Source organism: Homo sapiens, chromosome 14 (assembly GCF_000001405.40).
Source record: "Homo sapiens chromosome 14, GRCh38.p14 Primary Assembly".
Taxonomy (NCBI): domain Eukaryota; kingdom Metazoa; phylum Chordata; class Mammalia; order Primates; family Hominidae; genus Homo; species Homo sapiens.
The window spans coordinates 103540315-103562959 of NC_000014.9; the positions used below are offsets into that span (position 1 = coordinate 103540315).

The window sequence follows — 22645 nt, forward strand, 5'->3', positions numbered from 1 at the left end:
TCTCGCAAACATTTCTTTTTATTTCTTAAATAAAAACCCCCGTTATTAACTGAAGCGGCAGCTCTCTGGCAGCTTCCTGCAAGCAGCTGGTTGATCCTCTGAGGCTGCACTGTCAGTTGCAGCTCAGTTTCACCCGGTGTGGCTGGACTGTCTGCTTCTGAGCCCCAGACCCTGTCGCTCCCTGCTGCTCCCCTGTGAATGCCCTCGTGCTCCCAGAGAGAAACTGAGGCAGCAACAGCAGGTAGCTGTGCGCAGACCCCGCTGGGCCCCAGTTTGAATAAACCAAATGTCTTTTACAAAATAGGACAGTTGGGAAGCTTGAAGCTTGAGTGGCCGTTTTGTGAGTTTAAGGAGTGGCCACATTTGCGAGCATGCTGACAAAGTGCTGGGGAATGACAGGGTGGCTGAGATCCAACTCTGAATAACAGGGTTGGGGAGGAAGGGGAGTAGACCTCAAACCAGGCTGGCCACAGACTCCTGGGAGCTGCGTACAGGATTCTTCACACGATTCTGCTGGTGCATTTCTTTGACAATTTCCAAAAGTTTTTATTTTTGAAAAAAGGAGACTGGGTGTGGTGGCTCATGCCTGAGGCCAAGATGGGAGGATCGCTTGAGCCCAGCCTGGGCAACACAGGGAAACCCTGTCTCTACAAATGATTAAAAAATAAAAAAAGGAGAGATGCCCCAGGCCAGTGGCCAGCACTGGTAGCTGGCAGGACCCAGCCTGTCACCCAGGGTGCTGGCATGGCACATGTAGGCTGAATGCAGTCCGGGGCCTGGCCCCTGCCTGGAAGCCCTGGGCCTGCAGAGACACGGGCCCTGCAGAGGAATGCTGGGCCAGCTGTGGGCGGGGGGCTGGCCATGGATGGGGTGGGGACAGTGGGGGCGACAGGCACAATAGACATTCTGGGTGCCAGGCAACGGGGAAGCAGACGCTTCTTGGCGGGGAAACCCTGAGGGGCCCAGGCCACACCTGTCCCTCAGCAATGTGGCGTGCACCCCCACCCTCAGGCCATTGAGGCTCACTGGCTGCCTGGCCCCTCAGGGTGAAGGGCAGCCACCCTCCTGGTGGGGCTTCAACACTCCCTGATGCCAGCCCCCACCCAACTGAGGACCTGGTCGGAGGGTGCCTCGATGGCTCCTGCAGCCCCGAGCTCTGGCCTGCTCACCTCTTCGTGGCCTCTGTCTCGGGGCCGCCGGCACTCCCCGCCTCTCCTGCCTCTGACTGTGCCTGCCTGGCTGGTGCCCCCAGGTGTAGGCAGGCCCTCATGGGGTTCAGAACAGGGCTTGGAGTTCTGGTGGAGCCTCCATCCCCTGCCACCCCTCTCCTGGCCCCAGACTCAGTAGCCCCCAGCCCTGCCAGCCAGGCTCTGCCAGAGCCACAGGGCCCCTGTGGCTGTCCCTGTCCAGTGGCTCCCTTCAGGCTCCACATCCTCCCCCTCCGTGGATGGCCCTGCTAAGGAGCTCTGGGCCCAGCTGGTGGCCAGGAGGAGGGAGGCTAGGAGGTCGCCGTGCCCGGTGGCCTTCCCCACCTCACAGACGGTTCTTGAGCTTCTGGGCACAGCGGCCAGCCCTCGCCCTCCCCCAACACACGCCCTCCGTCCCTCTGCCTCAGCCCCTGCCTCTTGCCCCAGCCCTGAGGGTAGAGGTCGGACCCCAGCTGCTGTCTGCAGTGGCACCCAGGGTCCCGGCTAAAGCACACATTCCGTGTGGGCCAAGAGTGTACACAGTTCCTTTCCGTCCTGGGTGAGCCAGGCGTACAGTAGGCGCTCCGTGAACACACAGTGGAACCCGCCGGGCAGTGCCGCCACCCTCCGGTGGTCTCAGCCCCCGCTGCTCTGTTTGCATGGCTTTTGCCACTCTGGTCTCTGCCACCCGTTCCTCGCTGGCCTCACTGGGCCCTTTGCCCCACACCAGGAGGTATCCAGTGCCCTCCATGGGGAGGGACGCCTCCTTTGTGCTCTGCCTGGGGAAGGCAGGGAGGCTGGGGCAGGGGCGGGTCCCAGCCCTACCACCCTGGGCGGGGCTTTGGCCAAAGGCCTTGCCCTCTCTGAGCCTCAGTCCCCTGCCCGTCCCAGGGGTACCCTCAGGAGCTCCCGAACTGGGCTCGTGGGAGTCTCCTTGAGGCTGGCATTGGAAGTGCCCAGGAGTGCCCCAGGCCTGCCAGCCCCTCATTCCACCGCGTGCACGGCAGGGAGGCATGGTTTTAGCAGCTGGTCCACACGTCTGGATGGTTGCCCCAGAGCCCCCATCACCAGGGTCACACTGCCCAGGCAGCTCCTAACACCTCAGGTTCCTCACCCCTTCCTGCAGCTGCCGTCCCCACCCCCAGAAGCCTGCCTGCCTCTCCTGGGGACCCGGGCGGACAGCTGGACACAGCCCCTCCCCCTCTGGAGGGGCTGCCCCTCAACAGGTGTTGCCACTTGATCAGGAGCAAAGTCAGGGTTGGGGTTGCTCCTGCTGCTCCCCCGCTCTGTGCCCCGCCTGGGATGGAAGCCCAGGCTCCTCCAAGGCTGAGCTGGGGCCCCTCAGCGTCTCTCCTGGGGACAAAGAGGCAGCTGCCAGCAGGGCGGGGCAGGGAGGGCGGCCTTTGTGTGCGCCAGGCCCCTCCTGGTGACCTCACCACCGGCCGGAGAAGGGCCCTTTCTTCCCAAAGGCAGCCGTTGGGAATCCGCCTGGGGACAAAGCCGCTGCCAGGCAGGGGACCAGCGAGTGGCTGGCTCCCCTCGTAGCATAAATTAGGGGGGGCCGAGGTGGGGGAGGGGACGGCAACTACTCTGACCCTGGGAGAGGGTCACTTGGTGCAAACAGATAACCAAGCCCCCAACTTACACATGGGGTGCATGGGGCCGCCCCTTCAAGCTTCATTCGTTCATTCAGCCCATTCCTTCATTCTGCAGATGGCTGCTGGGCGCTGGCCCAGGCAGGCCCTGTGAGGGCCCTGGGGACACAGAGGGGATGCATCTGATGGGTGAGGGAGCAGTGGGTGAGGGGCGGGGGTGCCCAGTCTGGAGGGGGAACTAGGACAGACGAGTCAGAGCTGCCCAGAAGCCCCAGGGCCTGGGTTGGGGCAGGCGGGAAGATCCCTGCTGAGCATGGTCACCTAGCAGGTCACCCAGCAGGGCAGCGGCCACAGCCGCCAAGCCCAAGTGCACGCAGCAGGCCACCCCAGGCCTCCAGGAGAGCTCAGGAAAATATCTGATTTTCAATGCGTGGTGTTGAGTGACACCCACCCCCCATGTGTGGCCAAGGGCTTCCCGTCCCCAGGGTCCAGGTGACCCACAAAGCGTCCTCACAGCCTTGTTGGCCCTCGGCCTGGCTTCCTGGCCCCCCGCAGGACACTGTTCCCCCCCCACCACCTCCCTGTACCCTGTCTTGAGGCCTAGGGCCTAGTGGCCCAGGGTGGCCAATGCAGAGAGCAGTGTGGCCAGCACAGAGAGACAGGTGGCCTGAGAGTCCCACAGATGTCCACTGCTACTCAGGCCCAGCTCCCAAGGCCTGTTCCTCTGCCTCCCAGGCACTGGGCACGTGCTCCATCCCCAAGGCGCTGAGCACATCAGGCCAGACCACGTGGGCTTCCTGCAGGAGGAGGCAGCAGGCCCAGGTCAGGCTGGGTCCGGGAGGCAGGCACGGGGTGTGCTGGTCAGCAGGGCTCACTGCCAGGCCCAGAGGTGTCCTGGCCATGCGGATGACAGAAGGCCAAGTGCGTAGGGCAGAGGGTGTGAAGGGCCTCGTCCTGTGAGCAGGGCATGCGAGCAGCTCCTGGCCTGACCTCCAGCCCCGACACCTGAGGCCTGAGCTTGCCTTGCAGTCATCAGCAGAGCCAAGACTCCCAGATTTCCGGGGCTGGGAAACCGTCAATGCCTTACAGAGCCACTAGGTCCACAGCTGCCCAGGGCGGGGGGCACCTGCTGGGTGCTGGACCTCCCTGCACCCCGTCTTTACCTCCGTGTGTGGATGGGCAGGAGTGTCTGCAGGCCTGGCCCAGGCCAGGAGGAGGCCTGAGGCTTCTGGGGCACCGAGCGACCACAGGCCGGGGTGCGTGGCTCCCCCAGGAGCTCCAGAGGCCCTATGCCCCCTCCCCCAGGAGCCCCAGAGGCCCTATGCCCCCTCCCCTGCAGCGAAGCGAGATGGGCGGGGGCGGGTGTAAGTAGGACAGCGCTTTGTGCGCGTTGCTATGGCGCCGCCGCCGCCCGTGCAGGCTTCCTCTGGGCGCGTTCCCAGGACGCAGAGCCTGCCAGTTGGCCCTCCCAGCCCCTGGCAGGGCCCCATCCCAGTCGGGGGGCCTCAGAGCTTTCTCCACCCACAGGCTGCTGGGGGGCAGACTAATTGTCCCACTTCGTTACACCCTCAAACCCGCAGCACACATGTGCTCACAGCCACGCAGCACACACGTGCTCACAGCCACGCAGCACACACACACACACAGGAATGTGCACATGCTCACACATACATGTACACATGCCACACACATGCATACACCCCACAGCCACAGGCAGGCGCTCAGTCCTTAGCGTGCCCTGGGGCTGCAGCCTCCAGGTTCACACCCAGGCCCCAGGGGCCCCAGGCCAGTGCGCGGCCTCCGAGCAGAGCACACGTGGTGGTGGGCATGAACGTGCAAGGCCAGGGGCTGCCCCATCTCAGCCACCTGCTGAGACTGAGAGGTCATTGCTGACCTTGAGGAGGAGGCTGGGGGCCTAGAATTCAGAGGACAAGCCAACCTGAACCCTACTCCCCACCGCTGGGCCTGTGGGACAGACTCAAGGCCCTGTGCTGGGAGGACTGGGACTTCTGATGCCGGCGAGCTGAGGCTGGGCCCTTCCTGCTGGGCCAGCGCCTCGCCGGCCACTGGATACCAAGCGCCCCATTGGATGCTCACAGCCCCACAGTGGGGTGAGCACCACCAGCCCTACACGCAGGACAAAGTGGCCTAGAGATGGCACGGAGGGGGCCGGGCAGCGACGCTTTGCCGGGGTGTGGCAGGAGGGTATCTGTCTCTTGAGGCACAAGAGGCCTTGGGTGGCCCAGCCTGGCTCCTGTTGTCAGCTGATGTCACAGGGTGGAGAACCTGGGTGTCCGGGGAGACAGATGGCCCCGGGTTCCCTGGCTGCCCTGAAACCTGCTGATGACGACCCCACCAAGGGGCGGGACGGCTTCCTTGCACTTGGCGTCCTGGAGAGGTGACGGGCTATAGGCTGCAGGGTGGGAATGCAGGGAACACCCAGGCCCTCTCTGAAGACCACAGCTGGGCCCTCTGACCCATGCCTCAGCCTCCAGCCCAATGGCACAGAGCTGGCCGAGGTCCTTGCCCCACGCGTGCCGCCACCGGCTCCTGAGGGGCCGGTGGACAGGGACCCGGCGGTCCCTTTACCAACAGGAGGCCCATGGCTCTTGGCACTGCCGCAGAGGCTGTGGCTTCCTCAGGAGCACATCTGTCCTTTGGGGTAAACGCTGCTGCCTCTTAGAATCTGAGGCCCCTGGGACAGGCTGGAGCTGAGGCTGACAGGCAGGGCCCTCGTCACAAAGCCGCTGAGTCCCCCCGAAGCCCTCCTGAGCGCGGCGCTGTATGAGAGGTACCCAGAGGTGCTCTCAGAAGGCAGGGCTGGGTTTGGGGCAGGGCAGGAGTGGGTACCGAGAGGCCCCAAACAGCTTCCTGAGGGAGAGGGGGCTTCACAGAGGCAGCTGCCTCAGTGACCCTGTGGCAGGTGTGTCTGCTGGCACCGAGGTCTTTTAGGGCAATGAAGGAGAAAGGGCAAGACAGGGAGAACTCGGGGGCATAAAGGCCAGGGCGCGGGGGCCTGGCTTGTTCCTGCAGCTGCAGCGACATGCGCCAAGGCTCGCTGTGGGCAGAGGTCTCCGCCACCAAGAAGCGAGGCTGGAGGGCAGGCACTGATTCTCCATCACCACACCCAGAGCCCCCACTGGGACCAGCGAAGCACAAGGCAGCCAGTGCCACAGCCCCACACCCCGCCCGCCAGCTGCCCTGTGTGGTGTGGAGGCGGCTCCGGGGGCGGCTGTTCACAGCAGTGACCCCCGCCTGCTGCACGGCCACTTGAGCTGTCCTGGCTGCTGCCAACGCCACTGTGAAGTATGGTGACCCCATTGGCCAGGGATGGGGTCAGCACCCACGGACGTGGTCGGGGAGGTCACCAAAGCCTTCTTGCCGGAAGTGGCATTTGGCTTGGGGTGTGGAAGAGGAGCACAAATTACCCAGGAGGGCCGGGCCAGGGTCCAAGGAAGGGCCACCTGTGCAGAGACGCAGGGCTGATGGCACAGGCCTTGCCCACAGGCCCTGCCACGGGGAAGGACAAGCCCCTGCCAGCCGGCTGTGAGCCACCACCATCCTGATGACAGACCCACACCGGCAGGCAGGGCAGGCTGCCTGTGGCAGAGTTAGGGGGGTTGGGGGGCGTAGGTTAGAGACTGCCAGATCTGCTGGGGATCCGTACCAACCCATGATGGTAGCAGGTGGTCACTGGATGCCCCGCGCAAGCGCCATCCACCCCCAGAACAGAAGCGCAGCTCAGGCGATGCCATGGCCACCTGTCCACCATTGGCCAGGGCAGGTGCACCTGGCGTGGCCCAGGCAGGACCACTTCTGGTGTTCTGGGCTCGGCAAAACCTGGCCTTGGGCGCCACCTGGTGACCAGACATGGGAGAACCAAGCAGGCAAGTGGGGGCCTGGAGGGGCAGGTGCGTGGCGTTTGGGGGACCTCCAAGGTCAGGGAGCCACGTGCTGTGCAGGTGAGCCACCCTGCAGGCCAGGGGCTGTGTGGAGGGCGGCAGGTAGCAGGGTCTGTCTGGAGTCCTCCCTCCACCCAGCCTGGCCAGTGCGGATGCTGAGCTGTGTGGGGCCCATGTGCACTGGGACTGGTTGAGGGAACAGGCCAGCCATGGTCCCCACTGCAGCAGGGACAGGCCTCGCACGTTCAGCTAGAGGCACCCCCTGGGGCGGGCTATCGGGTCTGCCCTGGCACAGACCTACTGCCGGTGTGGGGTCCATGGCAGTCACTGGGCCAGACTTGGTGGGCTGCTGTGGGGCAGGCCTTGGGGGGCTCCCCAAAGAGAACCCAACCCAGGGGAAGCCTGGGACTGGTGCTGTGCTCTCTGTGGGAGCCACTGATCTCCAGGATGCAGTCCTGCCCCTGTAGGGGCCCGCTGCCCCAAGGCTCTGTGGGATCTGGCCCTGCAGACTCTCACCTGCCTGCCAGGCTCCAACCTGGGGGTCCTTGCTCCAGCCGTCCAGCCTGCACACTCTTCCCCAGGCCCCCATGGCCTGCTCCACAGGACCACCTGCATAGCCACATTGGTGCTGGGATGCCTGCTTTTCCTTTCAGGGGCTGGGTCAGGATTAAGGGCTGGAAGATGCCCTTTCCGGGGAGATGAAACCAGGATGCAAGAGGAAGGGGCACACACGCCCAGGAGCCCCAGGCTGCCAAGAGCACCCTGGGCCTGCTGTGGCCATCTGCAGGCAATGCCCAGACCAGACCACAGCTCAAGAAGGCAGCTGGGCGCCTCGCTGCCCCACGCCTGCACCCTGACATCCCCAGCACGTTTTTTAATTTTTTTTTTCCATTTTTTATTTTTTGCGTGTGATAGTCTTGCTCTGTCGCCCGGGCTGGAGTGCAGTGGCACGATCTCGGCTCACTGCAACCTCTGCCTCCTGAGTTCAAGCAATTCTCATGCTTCAGCCTCCCGAGCAGCTGGGACTACAGGCGCCCGCCACCACGCCCAGCTAATTTTTGTACCCCAGCACCTTTAATAAGCAGCTATCGGCGAGGCCCAGTGGGTTCTGCTGCCCATGCTTCTGTGACCCCGCCCCCATGGCTCACCCCTCCTCCTGCCAGCCAGGCCAGAACCCTGGGTGCCCGCATCCCCTGGTGCCGTCCTCACTGCCCCCAAATCCTTTCCCACCCCCCTCCCCCAACCCCACTGCTGCCCCCAGGGGCACTCAGCAAAGCCTCCAAACCTCCCTTGGCTTGTGGGGCCCAGGAAGCCCTGGCAGTCCTGGCGCTGTCCCCTACCCGCTGCCTGAAGTTCTTCCAGGGCCTCCAGTGTGCCCGGCCCTGGCTCTGGGCTCTGCTTTTGAAAAGTCTTCATTTTCCTTTACATCCCCACGTGCAGAGAAATGCCGGCTGCGCCCGAGGAGCAGAGTTGGAGGGGCCCCCGGGAGAATCTGAACATCCCAGTTTCCTGATCTCTTTCTGGGTCTCACTTTCATCTCTGGCCATCAGCAAGGGCATGCCCCTCCACCCGAAGGCCCTGCCTCTGTGCCAGGCTCCAGGTAAAGGGTACACCCAGCGGGGCCCTGACTCCCCCAACATGGGTGATCCTGGTGGCACACGCACAGAGCTCATGTACACCCAGCCACGCCTGAGGGTGCCGGTTCCTGCTGACCCCCCGTGCCCCACAAGACAGGTGCCCACAGAGCTTTGCAGCATGTTCCCCGACTCAGGAGGCAAAACCGTCCCCCTGGGCTCTGCTCCTGCTGCCCCCGGGGCCCACGCCACCTGCAGAGTGCACCCACAGGTGTCAGCGTGTTGAGCCAGGTGCTGCTCTAGGTACTGGGGATACAAGCAGGAACGGAACAAGTTTGGCGTCTTCAGGGTCTCAGGTGGCGGGGCCCCTGGCATCGTGCTAAGCCCTCTGAGGACGATGAGGCAGGGTGGGGCAGAGCGCAGGCACTGTGGTTGGAGACTGACTGCAGCTGACATCTGGCACGTGGTGCCCGCTGGGGTCCACGTGGCCCACTGGGCTCTCTGGCTTCTCTGAAGCCAGGCGTGGCTGCTGGTGGTCAGAGGATGGCTTGGTCATGCCAGAGCTGGGACACAGCACAGAAGCCAGTCCTTCCTGTGGGAATGGCCATCAGGTGGCCTGGCCATGAGGCTGTTTCTGCCCGTGACCCAGCACCAGACAGCGGCCGTTCCACTCTCACCCTCTCTGGGTGACTGGTACACCCAGAGACAGCAGAAGGGAGAGGGACCTCAAGGAACCCGGCTGGCCCTCCGCATCCATTTCTGTCCCTGTGAGCAGAGCCCTGGTGCCTCTCTAGGCCCAGCCTGCCCAACCTGGGAAGGGCTGGCCTGGGACCCAGAGGCGGGAAGATGGCTCTGTCCTGGCTCCCAGCCACACTGAGCCTCGGGCACCATGCCCTTCTGTCAGCCTGCAGATGCTTGCTGGGCACCCTCCCTGCCCCAGGCCTGGCAGGAAAATGAGGTGACAGAGGCGGCCCTGGGGAGCTCCTTCTGCTCACCTGGCCACCCCTCACCTAGGCCAGAGCCAGATCCCGGCCCCGCCTGACCTTGCCCCGCAGCGGCCTCTGCAGGCGCAGGGCCTCCGAGCTGCCAGGACACGGCTTCTGGTCTTCTTCCTCCCTCCTGGTCCACGCAGCAGTCCTGGGTGCCCCACCCCACACGGCTATGGCCCTCTGTGGGTCTGCCCTTCCCAGCCCTCACCAGTCTGTGAAAGCACTGGGGATGCGGCGAGTTCACGTGCCCGTGGGGAAGGGGCCAGGAAAGACACCAAAGTGGTAAACCGCAGGAACATGAAGCTGTGAGGGCTGGTGACGCCGGGCGGGAAGCCAGGTGGGGAGGCAGGCTGGTGCGTGGCCTGACCCCACCTCGCAGCCGGGAAACTGAGGCACACAGAGATGTCTTGCACATGTCAGGGCCCCAGGTAGGTGGTGGCAGGAGTCTGGGACCTTGGGTGGGCCTCACCAGTCACACAGCCTTGGCTGACCTGTCTGTCCTCCCATCCAGCCAGAGGGACACAAAGACCTCTTTGTCTCTCCACCCTTCCGCCCAGAGCCTCCCCAGCCAGTGCAGCTCTGAGCGTGTCCCCCAGGGAGGGAGACAGCCCCTGGTGGGGACTGGCAGTCCTGGCAGCTGCCCTGAGGCACAGGCCCTGGGGGACTCGGTGCTTTGAGGGCAGGGGCAGGTGATGGAGATCGGCTGGGGAAAGGGAGGCCGAGAAGGCGGCAGTGTGGAGCGTGTGAATTTGTTCATGAACTTAGCTACAAAAATGTCTTTTCCAGTGTCACAGCTCTTCTAGAATTTGACTAGCAGGTTTTCCGATTTTTACTGGAAAGCCCTTTAAATAAAGAAAGAAAAAGAAAAAAAAACGTCTTCCTCAATCAAATCCGAGGTGGTTCCTTCCCCCACCAGGCTGGCTGGGTGGGGAGAGAAGGCTTGAAGCCCAGGCTCCTAGGGAGAGGCTCTGCTCCCCACCCCAGGGCTGGGCTGGGACACCGGCCCTTCCTGGCAGGGGTGTCCTACTCCACAGAGGAGCCTTGGGAGGTGGCCACCACTGGGCCACTGCCCCTCACCAGGCCCAGAGGCCCAGTTCTCAGCCTGAAAAGAAAACCTGCCCTGGGCCCCTCATGACCAGGGTGAGGCTTGTTGGGCACAGAGGGCCTGTCGGGAGCACTGGAACCCAGCGGCCTGGGAGGGGCCCAGGTCTGACGCCTCATCCTGCACCAGGCTCGCTGCAGGCCTTCAGCTCCAGAACTGTGTTCTCAAAATCCTGTTGATGCTGCCACAAGTGGGCTCTCTCCTCCCCCATTCCGGGAAGGTTCTGGGTGAGTGGCTAGCCATCCCTCCCACTGGGAGCTCCAGTATCTGAACTGCCAGCCACCTGCAGCCGCCACCTCACCCCAGGCGGTGCTGCACCCTGGGCTGGTGGGACCAGCCTGGAGGGCCCTCCTGGGGCTCTGGGGCTCATGGACAGCCTCCCACAGAGTGTCTCGGCTGGTCTCATTTCTGTCTGGGAGGGAGTTGGGTGAGCACCAGGGAGAGGCTGAGTGGATGCCCGCCCACCTGGAACAGTGCTAGGTGGGGATGGGGGGGGGGCATCACGGGGCACACACAAGCTGTCGGAAGGGCCGATGTCCACAAGGGACGAGAGTCAGGGGCGCGGCTGTGGGGGTGGAGGCGGCCTGGAAGAGCAGGCATGGCACAGCGGCCGCTGGCTCATGTGGACTGGCGAGGCACTGTCCTGCTGGGGCCGTCCCAAAGGGAAGCATGGCCCGTCACTCCCCAGGCTAAAAACCATCCACGGCTGCCCCTCCTCATGGCTGAAGTGCAGCTCCTAGGCCCTACCCCGACGCTCTCAGGTCCCCTTCTCTCCCTCACCCTGTGGAGAGCGGACCTGCCTCCTGTCCCTCGGAGGACTCTCAGGCCCCAGCCCTGCCGCAGCAGCTCGTGGTCCAGCTTGGCTGGCCCTGCCTGGCCCTCCCGGCTCCAGCAGCAGTGGTGGCTGCCAGCACTCTCACTCTGATGAAGCTCCCAGCCCGCCGACTGGAACAGTGTGTTCACCACTACGGTCTTGCCTGGGAAGAGACGAACTCCTGCACTTCCTGTCACGTTCCACTTCTTGTCCGTGACCAGCTAACCTCCCACCTCCGCCAGGAAGCCTCCCTGGGCTTCTCAACCACCCCATCACATCCGGCCAATGCTTCTTGCGATGGATCCCTCAGAAAGCCACGTGACCTCTGCAGGGGCCCTTGCCCCAGGTCCACGCCTTTGCCCCCAGCACCTCACAGGTACTCGGCAGATGCTAGTTAAATGGAGACTCCACCCCAAGGCTCAGCTACCCTCCCTCAGTCCTCCTCACCCCATGGGTTAGTGGGTTTCCTTCAAGTACCTCACCCAGCAGCCAGGAAGATTCCTCTTCATGTCAAATCGGTCTGAAGGGCACACTAGGCACGCGGTGGCCCTGACACTGCCCCTCCCTGGTCCTTTCCAACAGCACCGAGGACATGGAGGTCGGCCCAGGCTCAGGAATCACAGAGCTAACTGCTCATTTCGGCATCACAAGCACGAGCAGACGAATTTCAGAGACAGAAGCCAACATCCCCACCCCTCATCTTCAGAGGCTCCAGCCTGCCTGGCCTCTGTGGCTGGGTGGCCAGCCAAGGGCTCTGGAATTGGAGAGGCCTTGCTTCTCTACAGCAGGGTGTGACCCGCTCTGGCCTGCTGGCCCTCCTGCCCCAGGGACCGAGTAGGAGGCACTTTTGATTCCACCCGGGCTCTCAGGGGGATGAGGTGGCCTCAGGTGAGAGATCCTGATTGGCCACCCCAGAGCCCCGGTGGAAGGTGCAGCAGAGAGAAGGTCCTTTGGATCCGATAAGCAGAAGGATTTTAAACACTCTCTGAAGCTGTCTGAAGATCTGAGATTTTTCCACTCATTTATTCAGCAAGTATTCGCCGAATGCCTATTACATGCCAGGAGCTAAGGACACTATTTCCAAAGAACAGCTCATCCAAAAGGCATGTGAGTGCCCATTACTGCCAGGACCTGAGGCTGCATGGATGAAGAGACAGATCTTGCCTTGAAAGGCACTGTGGCCTGGCATGGGAGAGACAGGTGAGCCACTGTGTTAGGAGAGCTATTAATAGGGTACAGGAACAGAAGAAACGCTCCACGGCCCAAGGGATGGGCAGGGAGGGCTTCGGATGAGAGCACCAGAACCCAGGGCCATGAACAGCAAAGTCATCTGATGACCTTACTCTCCGCTCAGCACTCAGAACCACCCAGCTCCATGTCCCAACACCCACAGAGGACTGAGGTGGGGCAGACACCAGTGTGAGATGGAGACAGAAGGTGGGGAACTGGCAACATTCATCTGAAAATGCAGCCACAGGGAAACGGCTCGAGACTGAAAGGGTTCTAACACACACTGAAAACCTACCATTCGCTGTGACCGCAGCGGGGACCAGAGATGGAGAGGCAGTGTGCGGCACTGAGTCCTTACCAAATGGGGTCACAGACCCCTGGCAGCTCCGGAAAGACCAAAGAATCCGAAGCGGGGAAATAGCTTCACTTCACTTCAACCTTACTATAGAAAGATACATTTTTGCAGTTGTAATTCACAAGTGGAAGACGTACGGACAGAATAAAGCACTCGTTTAAGACAGTCTTTCCACGATGAGGGATGCCGGTTCACTGACACAGTGACTTTGAGACATAATACTGGAGCTGAATGTTTCACATTAACCAGCTGAATCCTTTAAACCTAAGTGCTAAGTACTGCCCACCTTTCAGAAGAAACTGAAGCTCAAGGGCTCAGCTTTGAAAGTGGCACAGCTCGCCGGTCACGGTGGCTCACACCTGTAATCCTGGCACTTTGGGAGGCTGAGGTGGGCAGATAACGAGGTCAAGAGATGGAGACCCTCCTGGCAACATGGTGAAACCGTGTCTCCACTAAAAATAGAAAAATCAGCTGGGCGTGGTGGCGCACGCCTGTAGTGCCAGCTACTTGGGAGGCCGAGGCAGGAGAATTGCTTGAACCCAAGAGGCAGAGGTTGCAGTGAGCCGAGATTGTGCCATTGCACTCCAGCTTGGGCGACAGAAAAAAAAAAAGAGAGAGAAAGTGGCACAGCTGAGATGTGAACCTAGCAGTCTGGGCCCCAGCCTGCTTTTAGCCACTTGGCCAGCATTCCCTGAGGTGGGAGCTTTCAGAAATCCTGATGTCCAGACTGTACCCTATCCCGATGAAACCAGAATCGCTGGGGTGGGCCCCAAGCACCAGCCATTTCTTCAACTCTCCAGGTAAGTCCATGACTCATGAACTGTAACCAAATTGTCCTTCCCTCCTTTGCCAAGTGACTCTGGGCAGTTCCCTGGGCAAGGGACCACCTGAATCTCAGAATCACCTATGAAACAGATAGTATGAAAAACCTGCCTCAAGGGGTGCTGAGAGCTTAAAATGTACATAGAACATTTTGCACAGATGGCTGGGCAGTGGAGATGGGGCTGCTGGGGCAGCCTGGACCACACCACTCAGGGCCTCGCAGGGACGTGGCTGGGTGAAATAGTGGAGGCCACTGAAGGTTTTCATTCAGAAAAGCCATATGAGCAGAGCCGTGCTTTTAGAAAGACCAAGAGGGCAAATAGGTGAAATAGCCTGAAATAGCCTGCTGGTGACTGGCATAAAAAAAGGGCACAAGCTGAAGAGACCTAGAACTAGGGACACAGAGTCCTAAGGCTGCCTGGTGACCCCCACCCCCACCCCAAAATCTGTGCAATGATAACTACACAAAATGGAAAAGCAAGGCCAAGTGCAGTAGCTCATGTCTGTCATCCCAGCACTTTGGGAGGCTGAGGCAGGAGGATCGCTTGAGCCCAGGAGTTCGAGACCAGCCTGGGCAACATATTAAGACCCTGTTTCAATAAAAAAACAAAAGAACCCAAAACATTTTGTAAGATGCCCTCAGACATGTCCTGACCAGCAGGGGCGACCCCAGACCTGCATATAAGAGGCCTTCAATTAGGGCTCAGCTTGTACCCAGAATCAAGAGCCAAGCTTGCCAGGGCACTGCCCCTCAGCCCCTGCCACCTCGTTCCAGCTCAGCCCACTCCAGGGTTTCTTCTTTAAAAAAAAAAAATTATATTGATTTTTTTGTAGAGATGGGGTCTGTGTTGCCCAGGCTGGTCTTGAACTCCTGGGCTCAAGCAGTCCTCTCACCTTAGCCTCCCAAAGTGCCATGATTCCCGGTGCCACACCCACCGTCTCCTGTCCTACTTCTAACCAGCCTTGAAGGGCCAGTGAGACCCCTCCCTAAGCCACTGGTCTTTTTCCGGCTTGCACTTGACACCTGACCTGACACCAGACATTCACACCTGAGACAGACCAGGCGCAGCTGACTCCCCTCATCCCTTCTCTGACTAAACTGGAATTTCTCCATGGCCACTGGTGGCATGATGGATTCTTCAATCCTCAGCGCAACACGAGGATACACTAGGAGCCTGGTTAATGCTGTTGCCAGTATAAGTGATAAGAATCCTCACGTGTGGCCAAGGATTTATTCAAAAGCTCACATTTCCCCCAGAGTGTTTCTCTTCAACCTATACACATCGTTGTTCTTGGCTCTGGGCCTATCATGCGTTTGCAAGGCTTGCAAAGGCTGCCCCTGTTTGGATCACCTGGAAGATAAAAGCAGGCAGAGAAGACAACAAAAATACAATGGAAGGCCGGGCGCGGTGGCTCACGCCTGTAATCCCAGCACTTTGGGAAGCTGAGGCAGGTGGATCACGAGGTCAGGAGATCAAGACCACAGTGAAACCCCGTCTCTACTAAAAATACAAAAAATTAGCCGGGCATGGTGGCGGGCGCCTGTAGTCCCAGCTACTCGGGAGGCTGAGGCAGGAGAATGGCGTGAACCCGGGAGGCGGAGCTTGCAGTGAGCCGAGATCGCGCCACTGCACTCCAGCCTGGGTGACAGAGAGAGACTCCGCCTCAAACAAACAAACAAACAAAACGCTCCCCCCAAAAAAACAAAAAACAAAAAACAAAACAAAAAATACAATAGGAAAGGGCTAAAAATAGGAAAACTTATTGCTGTCACATAGCGGACTTAAAATAGACAAACAACTGCCCGAAGTGAGCCAGGCACGTCTGCAGTCCAAGCACACGGGCTTCACTAGACTTAGGGCTGGGAGAGGGCCGGAGGCCGGAGTCAGAACACCTCACACAGCCGGGAAGGGCCGAATAGACAGAAAGACTCCCACACCTCCGTCACAAAGCAGTGAAGACGGTTTCATAGCACACTATCACAACTCTCCTCTGGAGAGTGGATCTTTCAAGAACTGTCTCAGAGGTTCTTCTTTCTAAAAATAAAGTCAATTCTTATTTGAGACCCAGGCATCCTCCTGAGGGAGCAGAGCATGAGGCCCCCACCCCCATCACACACATACTTCCTAGGCTGTCTCAACAAGAGCACAGTGACCTGGTCACCTGGGCCTGGGTCCTGGCCCACACACAACCACCCTCACCTCCTTACAGCATGGCCACCAACTGCAGCCAAGGAGGCCACCTGCCCCCAGGCCTGCCTGCTGTGGGCTCCATTAAGGAAGGACTCCTCAGCTGGGCACGGTGGCTCACACCTGTGTCCCAACACTTTGGGAGGCTGAGGCGGGTGGATCACCTGAGGTCAGGAGTTCGAGACCATCCTGGCCAACATGGTGAAACCCTGTCTCTACTAAAAATACAAAAAATTAGCCAGGCGTTGTGGCAGGCACCTGTAATCCCAGCTACTCGGGAGGTTGAGGCAGGAGAATTGCTTGAACCTGGGAGGCGGAGGTTGCAGTGAGCCGAGATCGCGCTATTGCACTCCAGCCTGGGTGACAGAGCCAGACTCCGTCTCAAAAAAAAAAAAAAAAAGGGCTCCGCACCCAGGTCAGACAGTTCATGAAGGTGATAATATATAGAGAACACACACCTCAGACTCACAGCCTTTCTCCACTGCAAGCGTAAGAGACTGGTTTTATTTCAAGAATAACTAAGGGTATATTAACACATGTATCTCAAAGTAACATTGAATTATTGAAGACATACTGTTCCAATACTCAAACAGTTCACAGAGAGGGGACAGGAACCAATGTACTGGAAAAACACACTTGTATTATATGTAAAAATCGATGGCCAATATTTCTCTTATTAAGAGAAAAATACCCAACAAATTAAAAGGTGAAAAGCTGTGCTCAAAAAAAAAATAAAAAAACCCAAAACCTTGCATGCACAAGCTAAGCTCAGACCCTTAAAAACCAGATAGAAATTGACAAAGTCAAACAAAGGAGAAAAACTAGCTGAACTTCTCAAACTAAATTATATCAAATATATGTGCATTTTAGCAAAATAAACCACTAAACTATACTTTGTAGACATATTCATTACATTTATTTTAATAACTACTTCATTATAGGCTGACTGGCTTTCCTGTGTGGATAAAGTGTGATCTGAAAGCAACGCTGACTGAATGTAAATAAAGCAAACGTTCCCAGCCATTTTTGGCATGAACATGGACTACAGCGTTTAATGCAGACCCAAAGCCACACATTTTTGGGGAGTAGGTTTTACTTGCAGTACAGATTCTTTTCATTACAGATCACAAAAATACAATACAATGTGACAAGCCCAGTTTAAGAATTACATGCAGTAGCTCATATTAACACAAACAGCTCCCCACGAAGGCCGACAAGAGCTAAATCCGGTGTCAACAGGGTTCATTGCAGGAGTAGAATAATCCGGTACAAGGAACGAGAACAGATTGAAACCAGAAACAAAGCCATGCCTGACAGTCAATCAAGGTCAATCTGATCATTTCCATGACCAATTACCCATGTGAACAATTCAAAATGACGGTGGAAGAGCTGAGCACCCTGTACTCACACACGATGCCCACAGCTTGGCAAAAGGTACACAAACACTTGTTTGAAAAGAATGACTGAAACGTCTACTTTCAAAGAACAATGGACACTTTTAAAGGGAATGCTGACATTTAACTTTACAAAATGAAATTTAAAATGTAAGTAGTACTCTGGGGAAGAATATGCCTGAAGCGTAACCATGATTTCCCAGTGGTATAATTAAACAGAGCTCTAATTTAAAAACTCTTCCTGGGCTGGGCGCCGTGGCTCACACCCGTTAATCCCAGCACTTTGGGGGGCCGAGGCGGGCGGATCACGAGGTCAGGAGTTCGAGACCAGCCTGACCATCATGGTGAAATCTCAACTCTATTAAAAATACAAAAATTAGCCAGGCATGGTGCCACATGCCTGTACTCCCAGCTACTCAGGTGGCTGAGGCAGGAGAATCGCTTGAACCTGGGAGGTGGAGGTTGCAGTGAGCTGAGATGGCACCACTGCACTGCAGCCTGGGCAACAGAGACTCCATCTCAAAAATAAATAAAAAATAAAAACTCTTCCTCAAGATTTTAAGAGCATTCTAAAATTATGATACAGAAAAGCAATCCTACAACTACTGTGGCCAAAACGTGGATTCCAATGACCTGCCTTGAGCCCGCGGTTGCCAGGAGTTGGACCTGCAGTAGTATGGGAAGCTCACGGCCTAAATACCGACTGCCCTCTGACCCCACCGTCCAGCGATTCTAGAACATTTCTAGTAGGAAAGACATAGCAAGGGATTTTCATGATTGGGAAATACTGAGAGACAAGCTGAAGATTTGTTAAGGGCTATGCTTCTGTCATCTTTTAGGTATTTAAGGCTACTCCTTTAGCTAGCTACTTTGAGCTGTTTAAAGTGACTATCTCCCTACACAGAGTTACACAATGAGCATCTCTGAAAGAGAATATTACCCTGGATTTCCAAAGATGTACTCTAACAGGATGACCAGGCAAAAGGTGACCCGGGGGAGGAGTCTGTTATAACACTCGGACCCACATGTTCTCAAGGCACTTCAGAACTTTGGGAAATCATTTTGTACCGGATCCTCAGAAAGCATTTATGGAAATACACATCCTTTAGAAGAGAGATGCTTCACGCACGACTGACTTTAATGGCTCTTTCAGGCAACAGAGAAACCACCACATGCCCATGACATGAGCTCAGTTGTTCAGCAGGCACCCAGAGGAAGCCTTTAATTCCGAGCAGGTTTCACTGATTGGTCCTGGAGCAGGTGTAGTTATGACATTTACTAAGTGAGTGGTTAACAGCTGACTGCCTAGAAAACCTAGGAAGGCCTGGTCCCTCTGGGTTACTGACAGCGTCTACCCTCACGTTGTAAAACAGCACCGGGGAGGTGTGACAAGGCTGTCCATTTTACAGCCTTGGACAACAGAAGAGAACCATTATGTGCTACATTCAGACTTTCTGATTTAGTTTTAGTATAACCTGACATTGGTAACCCGTCTCCAGTATTCATCCTCCAACTACAGGTATGAGTGTTTCCTTTTTTTTTTTTTAAAGGCCCATTAACTTAATTTAAATGTTCCCATCCTTATGAATTTACTCACTAAGGAAAACTATAAGCTCAGATTTTACAAACAAAAGCAACTTACAAGGTATTATTGCTGGTCCTTTATCCCTTCTCTTTAATGCAATCTCAAAGGTTTTTTGGCTATTAGTTTTCATAATTTTCTTATGTTGCACACAAAAACAAGATTCCTCTCTAAAACGTAGAGGATGGGGAAAATGCAGATGCTGTTTTTCCAACTAAAAATGTTTACAAAAGAACAGACTGTCTGAACAAACAAAAAAACCCCACCCCGTTAAGCTGGGTAGGACCAATCAGGCCTTATAAGTGAAAAAAAAGCCTTCTATCGAGCATAATGAAACAGAACATGTACTGCTTGTGTTTGAACCTTACTCTTATTTAACCAAAAATTTCCCCTTTCTCATAATTTTCCTAGTATTATGTAAGGTTATGCCTAGTTCTAGATTCTGAAAGACCTGCATTTTAATGCTTGCACAACCCATTTAAAATCTACAAAAGCTGCCTCTATTTTGTTTTCTGATTAAAAACGCAAAAAAAAGGACAAACCAAACAAACCACACCACATCATACAGATAATGATCCGAATGGAAAAGTTAACGTGCTGTAATGATATTTGTCTTGCAACATCAAAAGCAGCAGATACTGAATAGAATTTGCTTCAATCATAAATACTGAGACTGAAATATGCACGTATAAATCAATGAACTGAAAGCTCTCTATACATAGAAGCACATATGAAGTGCAAAACAGTATCAAAAGTGAGATCTCTGGTATTTCAGTACTCCCATTCATCAGATTTCAGGTCGAGATAGCTGAGAATATTCTGCGCAAGCCTCACAGCTTGTTTCCTGGCAGCCTTACACTTCTCTTCTCCCTGCGGATCAACAGCATCCAGGGCTAGCAGCTGCTTGGTGAGCAGCTCTTCCAGCCGGATGTAGTTCTTATCGGTTCGATTTCCATCAAATGAAAGAACTTCTCCCTGGATCTCAGACAAGTTTCCAAGGACGTTCCAGACGGCTTTATGGGATGGGTGCTCCTCACAAGCAAACAGCTTTCTTTTCTCAAGGGCCTCCTTCAAGTCAATATATGTGATCAGAGTTTGCACCTCGATCACTGCTCTTCTCCTGGCTTCCCGGATGCAGGGGTTTTTTTCAAGACTTACCTCATCCAACTGTCCAATTAAACCCTGCAATTCTGTTTTGGAGCTCAGGTACAATTCAGAAGGGTTTTGTGCTTGGAGAAGTTCATTTTTTATTTCTCTCATTCTCTTGAGGACCTTTTCTATTTTTAAAATGGAATGATTCTGTCTCAGGTCAAATGCTTTAGTTGTGTCTGCTTCCTCTTCCAAATCCAGATATTTCAATAATTTGTTGATATCTTCTACTACCTCCCTCCGATAATTTCTGATTTCTGTCCGGCCGCACACATCTAGAGCATCCAGGTCAGCGATCAGCCCCGAGAGCACACAGGATAAGTGCCTGCAGGTCTCATTGTTGTTCACACCCATCAGAAGTGCAATCAGGACCCCTCGGGCCTTGTTCACCTCACACATCACGAAGTTGATTTTGGCAACGGAAGGATGTGCATCCTCGGAAAGCGGCAGGGAAGGCTGCTTTTTCATGCAGTCTTCGATTATCTCTTGCACCGCACAGATTTTGGTTAAAGTGTGATACCTTGCTTTCCGCAAGGAGATTTTTCCTCCAGTTTTAACATGTGTCAGCCTCAGAATGATATCTTGGATGCCTTCTTCAAACTCATCAGTTACGCAGTTGCCTCCATTATAAAATGGCACAATTTTCTCTCTCACGAGGGACTGGGCTTCCTCAAAAATGTTCTGTATTTCAATCCGGTGTGGGTGGTTTGCATTCTGCTCCAACTCTTTGAGAAGACGTTCTGTCTCCTGTGCTGCCCGCTTCCTAGCTTGCTGAATATCTCCTTTTCCTTCAGTATCTACAGAGTCTATTTCAAAAAGCTGTTTTGTTAGAATCCTCTCCAGTTTCTTGTAATTCTTGTCATCTGACAGACCACTGAAGCCGATAACTTGCTGTTCTACACTTTTTACTTCCTTTTGGATTTCCTGAAGCCTACTAATAGAAGGATGTTGGTTTCCCATATCCATACTTTTGTTGTGTTCAGTTTCACAAGCACTAAAAGACGACAAGAATGATAACTTACTACAGCACAAGGCTTCTGCAGAACACTAATGGTATATTAAGTCATTCTAAAATTCTCATTTTAAAAAGGTATACTTCTGAGCAGTCATCCCACCTCAGCCTCCCCAGTAGCTGGGTCTACAGTCGTACACCACTACGCCCAGCTAATGTTATTTTTAGTAGAGACAGGTCTCACTATATTGCCCAGGCTGGTCTCAGACGATCCGCCCGCCTCCGCCTCCCAAAGTGCTGGGATTAAGGTGTGAGTCACCGTACGCGACACAAACTATTTGGAACCAGCAGGGCACCTTTATGAAAGGTGAAACAGTAGCTCTTGTAACCTTCCGAACACTAACAGTACCCCGCCCCGCCACACAGCTATGCCTAGTTTCCAGAAACTCTAAGCAAAAGAAAGAACCAGAACAAAAACCAGTGGCTCTCAGACATCCCCAAGGTCCCCGCTTCTTCGTTTCTCTCCATCCCTTTGTGCACTTCCCCTCCCCACCCTTTTAGCTCCTCACACATCTTCCCTCACAGAAGTCTCCCTGAAGAGATTAAAACCCCACAGGTAAAGAAGAGCGACCGGGACAGCGCTGAAGGGCACCACCTTGGGCTTTCGAGGCCCAACACCTCCTCAGCCCCCAACATGCTCCACTCTCTCAAAAAAAAACAACCCGCGAAAACGTGGTAACTATGAATAATTCATTCACTCGCCTCCCACTGGGAGTCCACAATGGCCTAATGCACGTTTCAAGCTCTTGGTTTCTATCAAACGGCTCGCTCAAGGTGGGTAACCAATGGAAACGCATAATCTATCCCCGGCGGATGTCCTGGAGGCCACGGAGGGAAGGCGGCCCGAGCTGCTTCCTCCCCGCCTCGCCCTTCCCTCTTGGCCCTTTACCCAAAAGAAGTCTGAATTGGATGCGGTCTTGGCGTCCCGTGGCTGAGGTGGCGAGGTGGAAGATCAGCCCTTTACGGGGTGCGGCACCGGAGCTGGGCCCCCAGCTGCATGCCTCGCACCCCTCCCGACTAGGTCTGAGCGGGGCAGCCGGTGAAGGGGCCGCTACTGGCTGCAGCAGCCGCTCCGGGCGTCTTGGCCCGGGTGCCAGGGCGCGCCTGCAGGACGTGACCTCACAATGGGCGCGCGAGGGGAGCTCGGCCCGGCCGGGGGAAGCCGGGGGAGGAGGGGAACCGAGGCCCGGCCGGAGACACCAGAGACCAGGCCCGGCCAGCCCCGGTCGCTTCCGACCCCAGGGGCGGGGACAGCGCCGAGACCGACTCTGCCCTGCCTGATCCGACAGGCCGCACGGGGCTGGGCGCTGGCGAAGGGGTGGCCCAGCGGGGAGCCCCGCGCGGAGGTGGTGCCCCACTCGTCCCCCCGAGAGAGGGAAAAGGCTACAAGCCGCGCTTCGCTCACCTGTCCCGCCCGCGCCATCGCGCGATGCGTCGCCGACGCTTCCACGACTTCCGCAGCTCCGGCAGTCGCCCGGGCCCGGCAGCCCCGCCCCTGGCCGAACACCCCTAAACCCGGGGACACCTCCTCCGGCGTCCGCGCCTAGCCGCCGGCAGCGCCACGCCCACCGCCAGCGGCGCAGCGAGGCAGCCTGGAGTGACCGCGACCAAGGAGCGGCCGCCCGGGTCAGCCCGCGCCGCCCGCCGCCCCCTCACCCCGTCGCACCGCTGGGAAAGCGCACGGTCGGCCGCGCCGCCGCGCTTCCTCGGGCTTCGCGACCCTGCCGTAAAGCGGCCCCTCGCGCCGTC

General features: G+C 56.8%; 1 protein-coding gene, 1 long non-coding RNA gene and 1 pseudogene across 4 annotated transcripts, besides 7 other annotated features; 1 reads left to right on the top strand and 2 right to left on the bottom strand.

Annotated features, from left to right (window-relative positions):
• Positions 1 to 13167, bottom strand: LOC124903392 (uncharacterized). The gene is made up of 2 exons (XR_007064357.1): positions 11641 to 13167; positions 1 to 11326 (listed from the first exon to the last, which is right to left on the bottom strand). It is a non-coding gene; the product is annotated as an uncharacterized LOC124903392 (long non-coding RNA).
• Positions 1792 to 2511: an enhancer, noted in NCBI's record as "H3K27ac-H3K4me1 hESC enhancer chr14:104008443-104009162 (GRCh37/hg19 assembly coordinates)". NCBI's record gives its function as "activates a minimal SCP1, AML or CMV promoter by ChIP-STARR-seq in naive H9 embryonic stem cells {active_cell/tissue: H9 hESC(naive)}" and the evidence as "EXISTENCE:reporter gene assay evidence [ECO:0000049][PMID:30033119]".
• Positions 3234 to 3955: an enhancer, noted in NCBI's record as "H3K27ac-H3K4me1 hESC enhancer chr14:104009885-104010606 (GRCh37/hg19 assembly coordinates)". NCBI's record gives its function as "activates a minimal SCP1, AML or CMV promoter by ChIP-STARR-seq in naive H9 embryonic stem cells {active_cell/tissue: H9 hESC(naive)}" and the evidence as "EXISTENCE:reporter gene assay evidence [ECO:0000049][PMID:30033119]".
• Positions 6611 to 6660: a silencer, noted in NCBI's record as "silent region_6159". NCBI's record gives its function as "represses an Ori minimal core promoter by ATAC-STARR-seq in GM12878 lymphoblastoid cells {active_cell/tissue: GM12878}" and the evidence as "EXISTENCE:reporter gene assay evidence [ECO:0000049][PMID:35858748]".
• Positions 6901 to 6950: an enhancer, noted in NCBI's record as "active region_9105". NCBI's record gives its function as "activates an Ori minimal core promoter by ATAC-STARR-seq in GM12878 lymphoblastoid cells {active_cell/tissue: GM12878}" and the evidence as "EXISTENCE:reporter gene assay evidence [ECO:0000049][PMID:35858748]".
• RNU7-160P (RNA, U7 small nuclear 160 pseudogene) lies at positions 10031 to 10092 on the top strand (annotated as a pseudogene).
• A 3069-nt stretch (positions 13168 to 16236) lies between the features above and the next one.
• BAG5 (BAG cochaperone 5) lies at positions 16237 to 22343 on the bottom strand. Of its 3 annotated transcripts, none has more exons than NM_001015048.3 (2): positions 22302 to 22343; positions 16237 to 20878 (listed from the first exon to the last, which is right to left on the bottom strand). In NM_001015048.3, exon 2 carries the CDS (start codon positions 20848 to 20850, stop codon positions 19507 to 19509), a length of 1344 nt encoding a protein of 447 aa, NP_001015048.1. In that variant the 5' UTR covers positions 20851 to 20878; positions 22302 to 22343; the 3' UTR covers positions 16237 to 19506. The 3 variants fall into 3 exon arrangements, with proteins under 3 accessions (NP_001015048.1, NP_004864.1, NP_001015049.2); NM_004873.4 differs by lacking the exon at positions 22302 to 22343 and adding an exon at positions 21786 to 22006; NM_001015049.5 differs by lacking the exon at positions 22302 to 22343 and adding an exon at positions 21599 to 22006.
• Positions 20948 to 21461: an enhancer, noted in NCBI's record as "NANOG-H3K27ac-H3K4me1 hESC enhancer chr14:104027599-104028112 (GRCh37/hg19 assembly coordinates)". NCBI's record gives its function as "activates a minimal SCP1, AML or CMV promoter by ChIP-STARR-seq in naive H9 embryonic stem cells {active_cell/tissue: H9 hESC(naive)}" and the evidence as "EXISTENCE:reporter gene assay evidence [ECO:0000049][PMID:30033119]".
• Positions 21561 to 21610: an enhancer, noted in NCBI's record as "active region_9106". NCBI's record gives its function as "activates an Ori minimal core promoter by ATAC-STARR-seq in GM12878 lymphoblastoid cells {active_cell/tissue: GM12878}" and the evidence as "EXISTENCE:reporter gene assay evidence [ECO:0000049][PMID:35858748]".
• Positions 21951 to 22600: a silencer, noted in NCBI's record as "silent region_6160". NCBI's record gives its function as "represses an Ori minimal core promoter by ATAC-STARR-seq in GM12878 lymphoblastoid cells {active_cell/tissue: GM12878}" and the evidence as "EXISTENCE:reporter gene assay evidence [ECO:0000049][PMID:35858748]".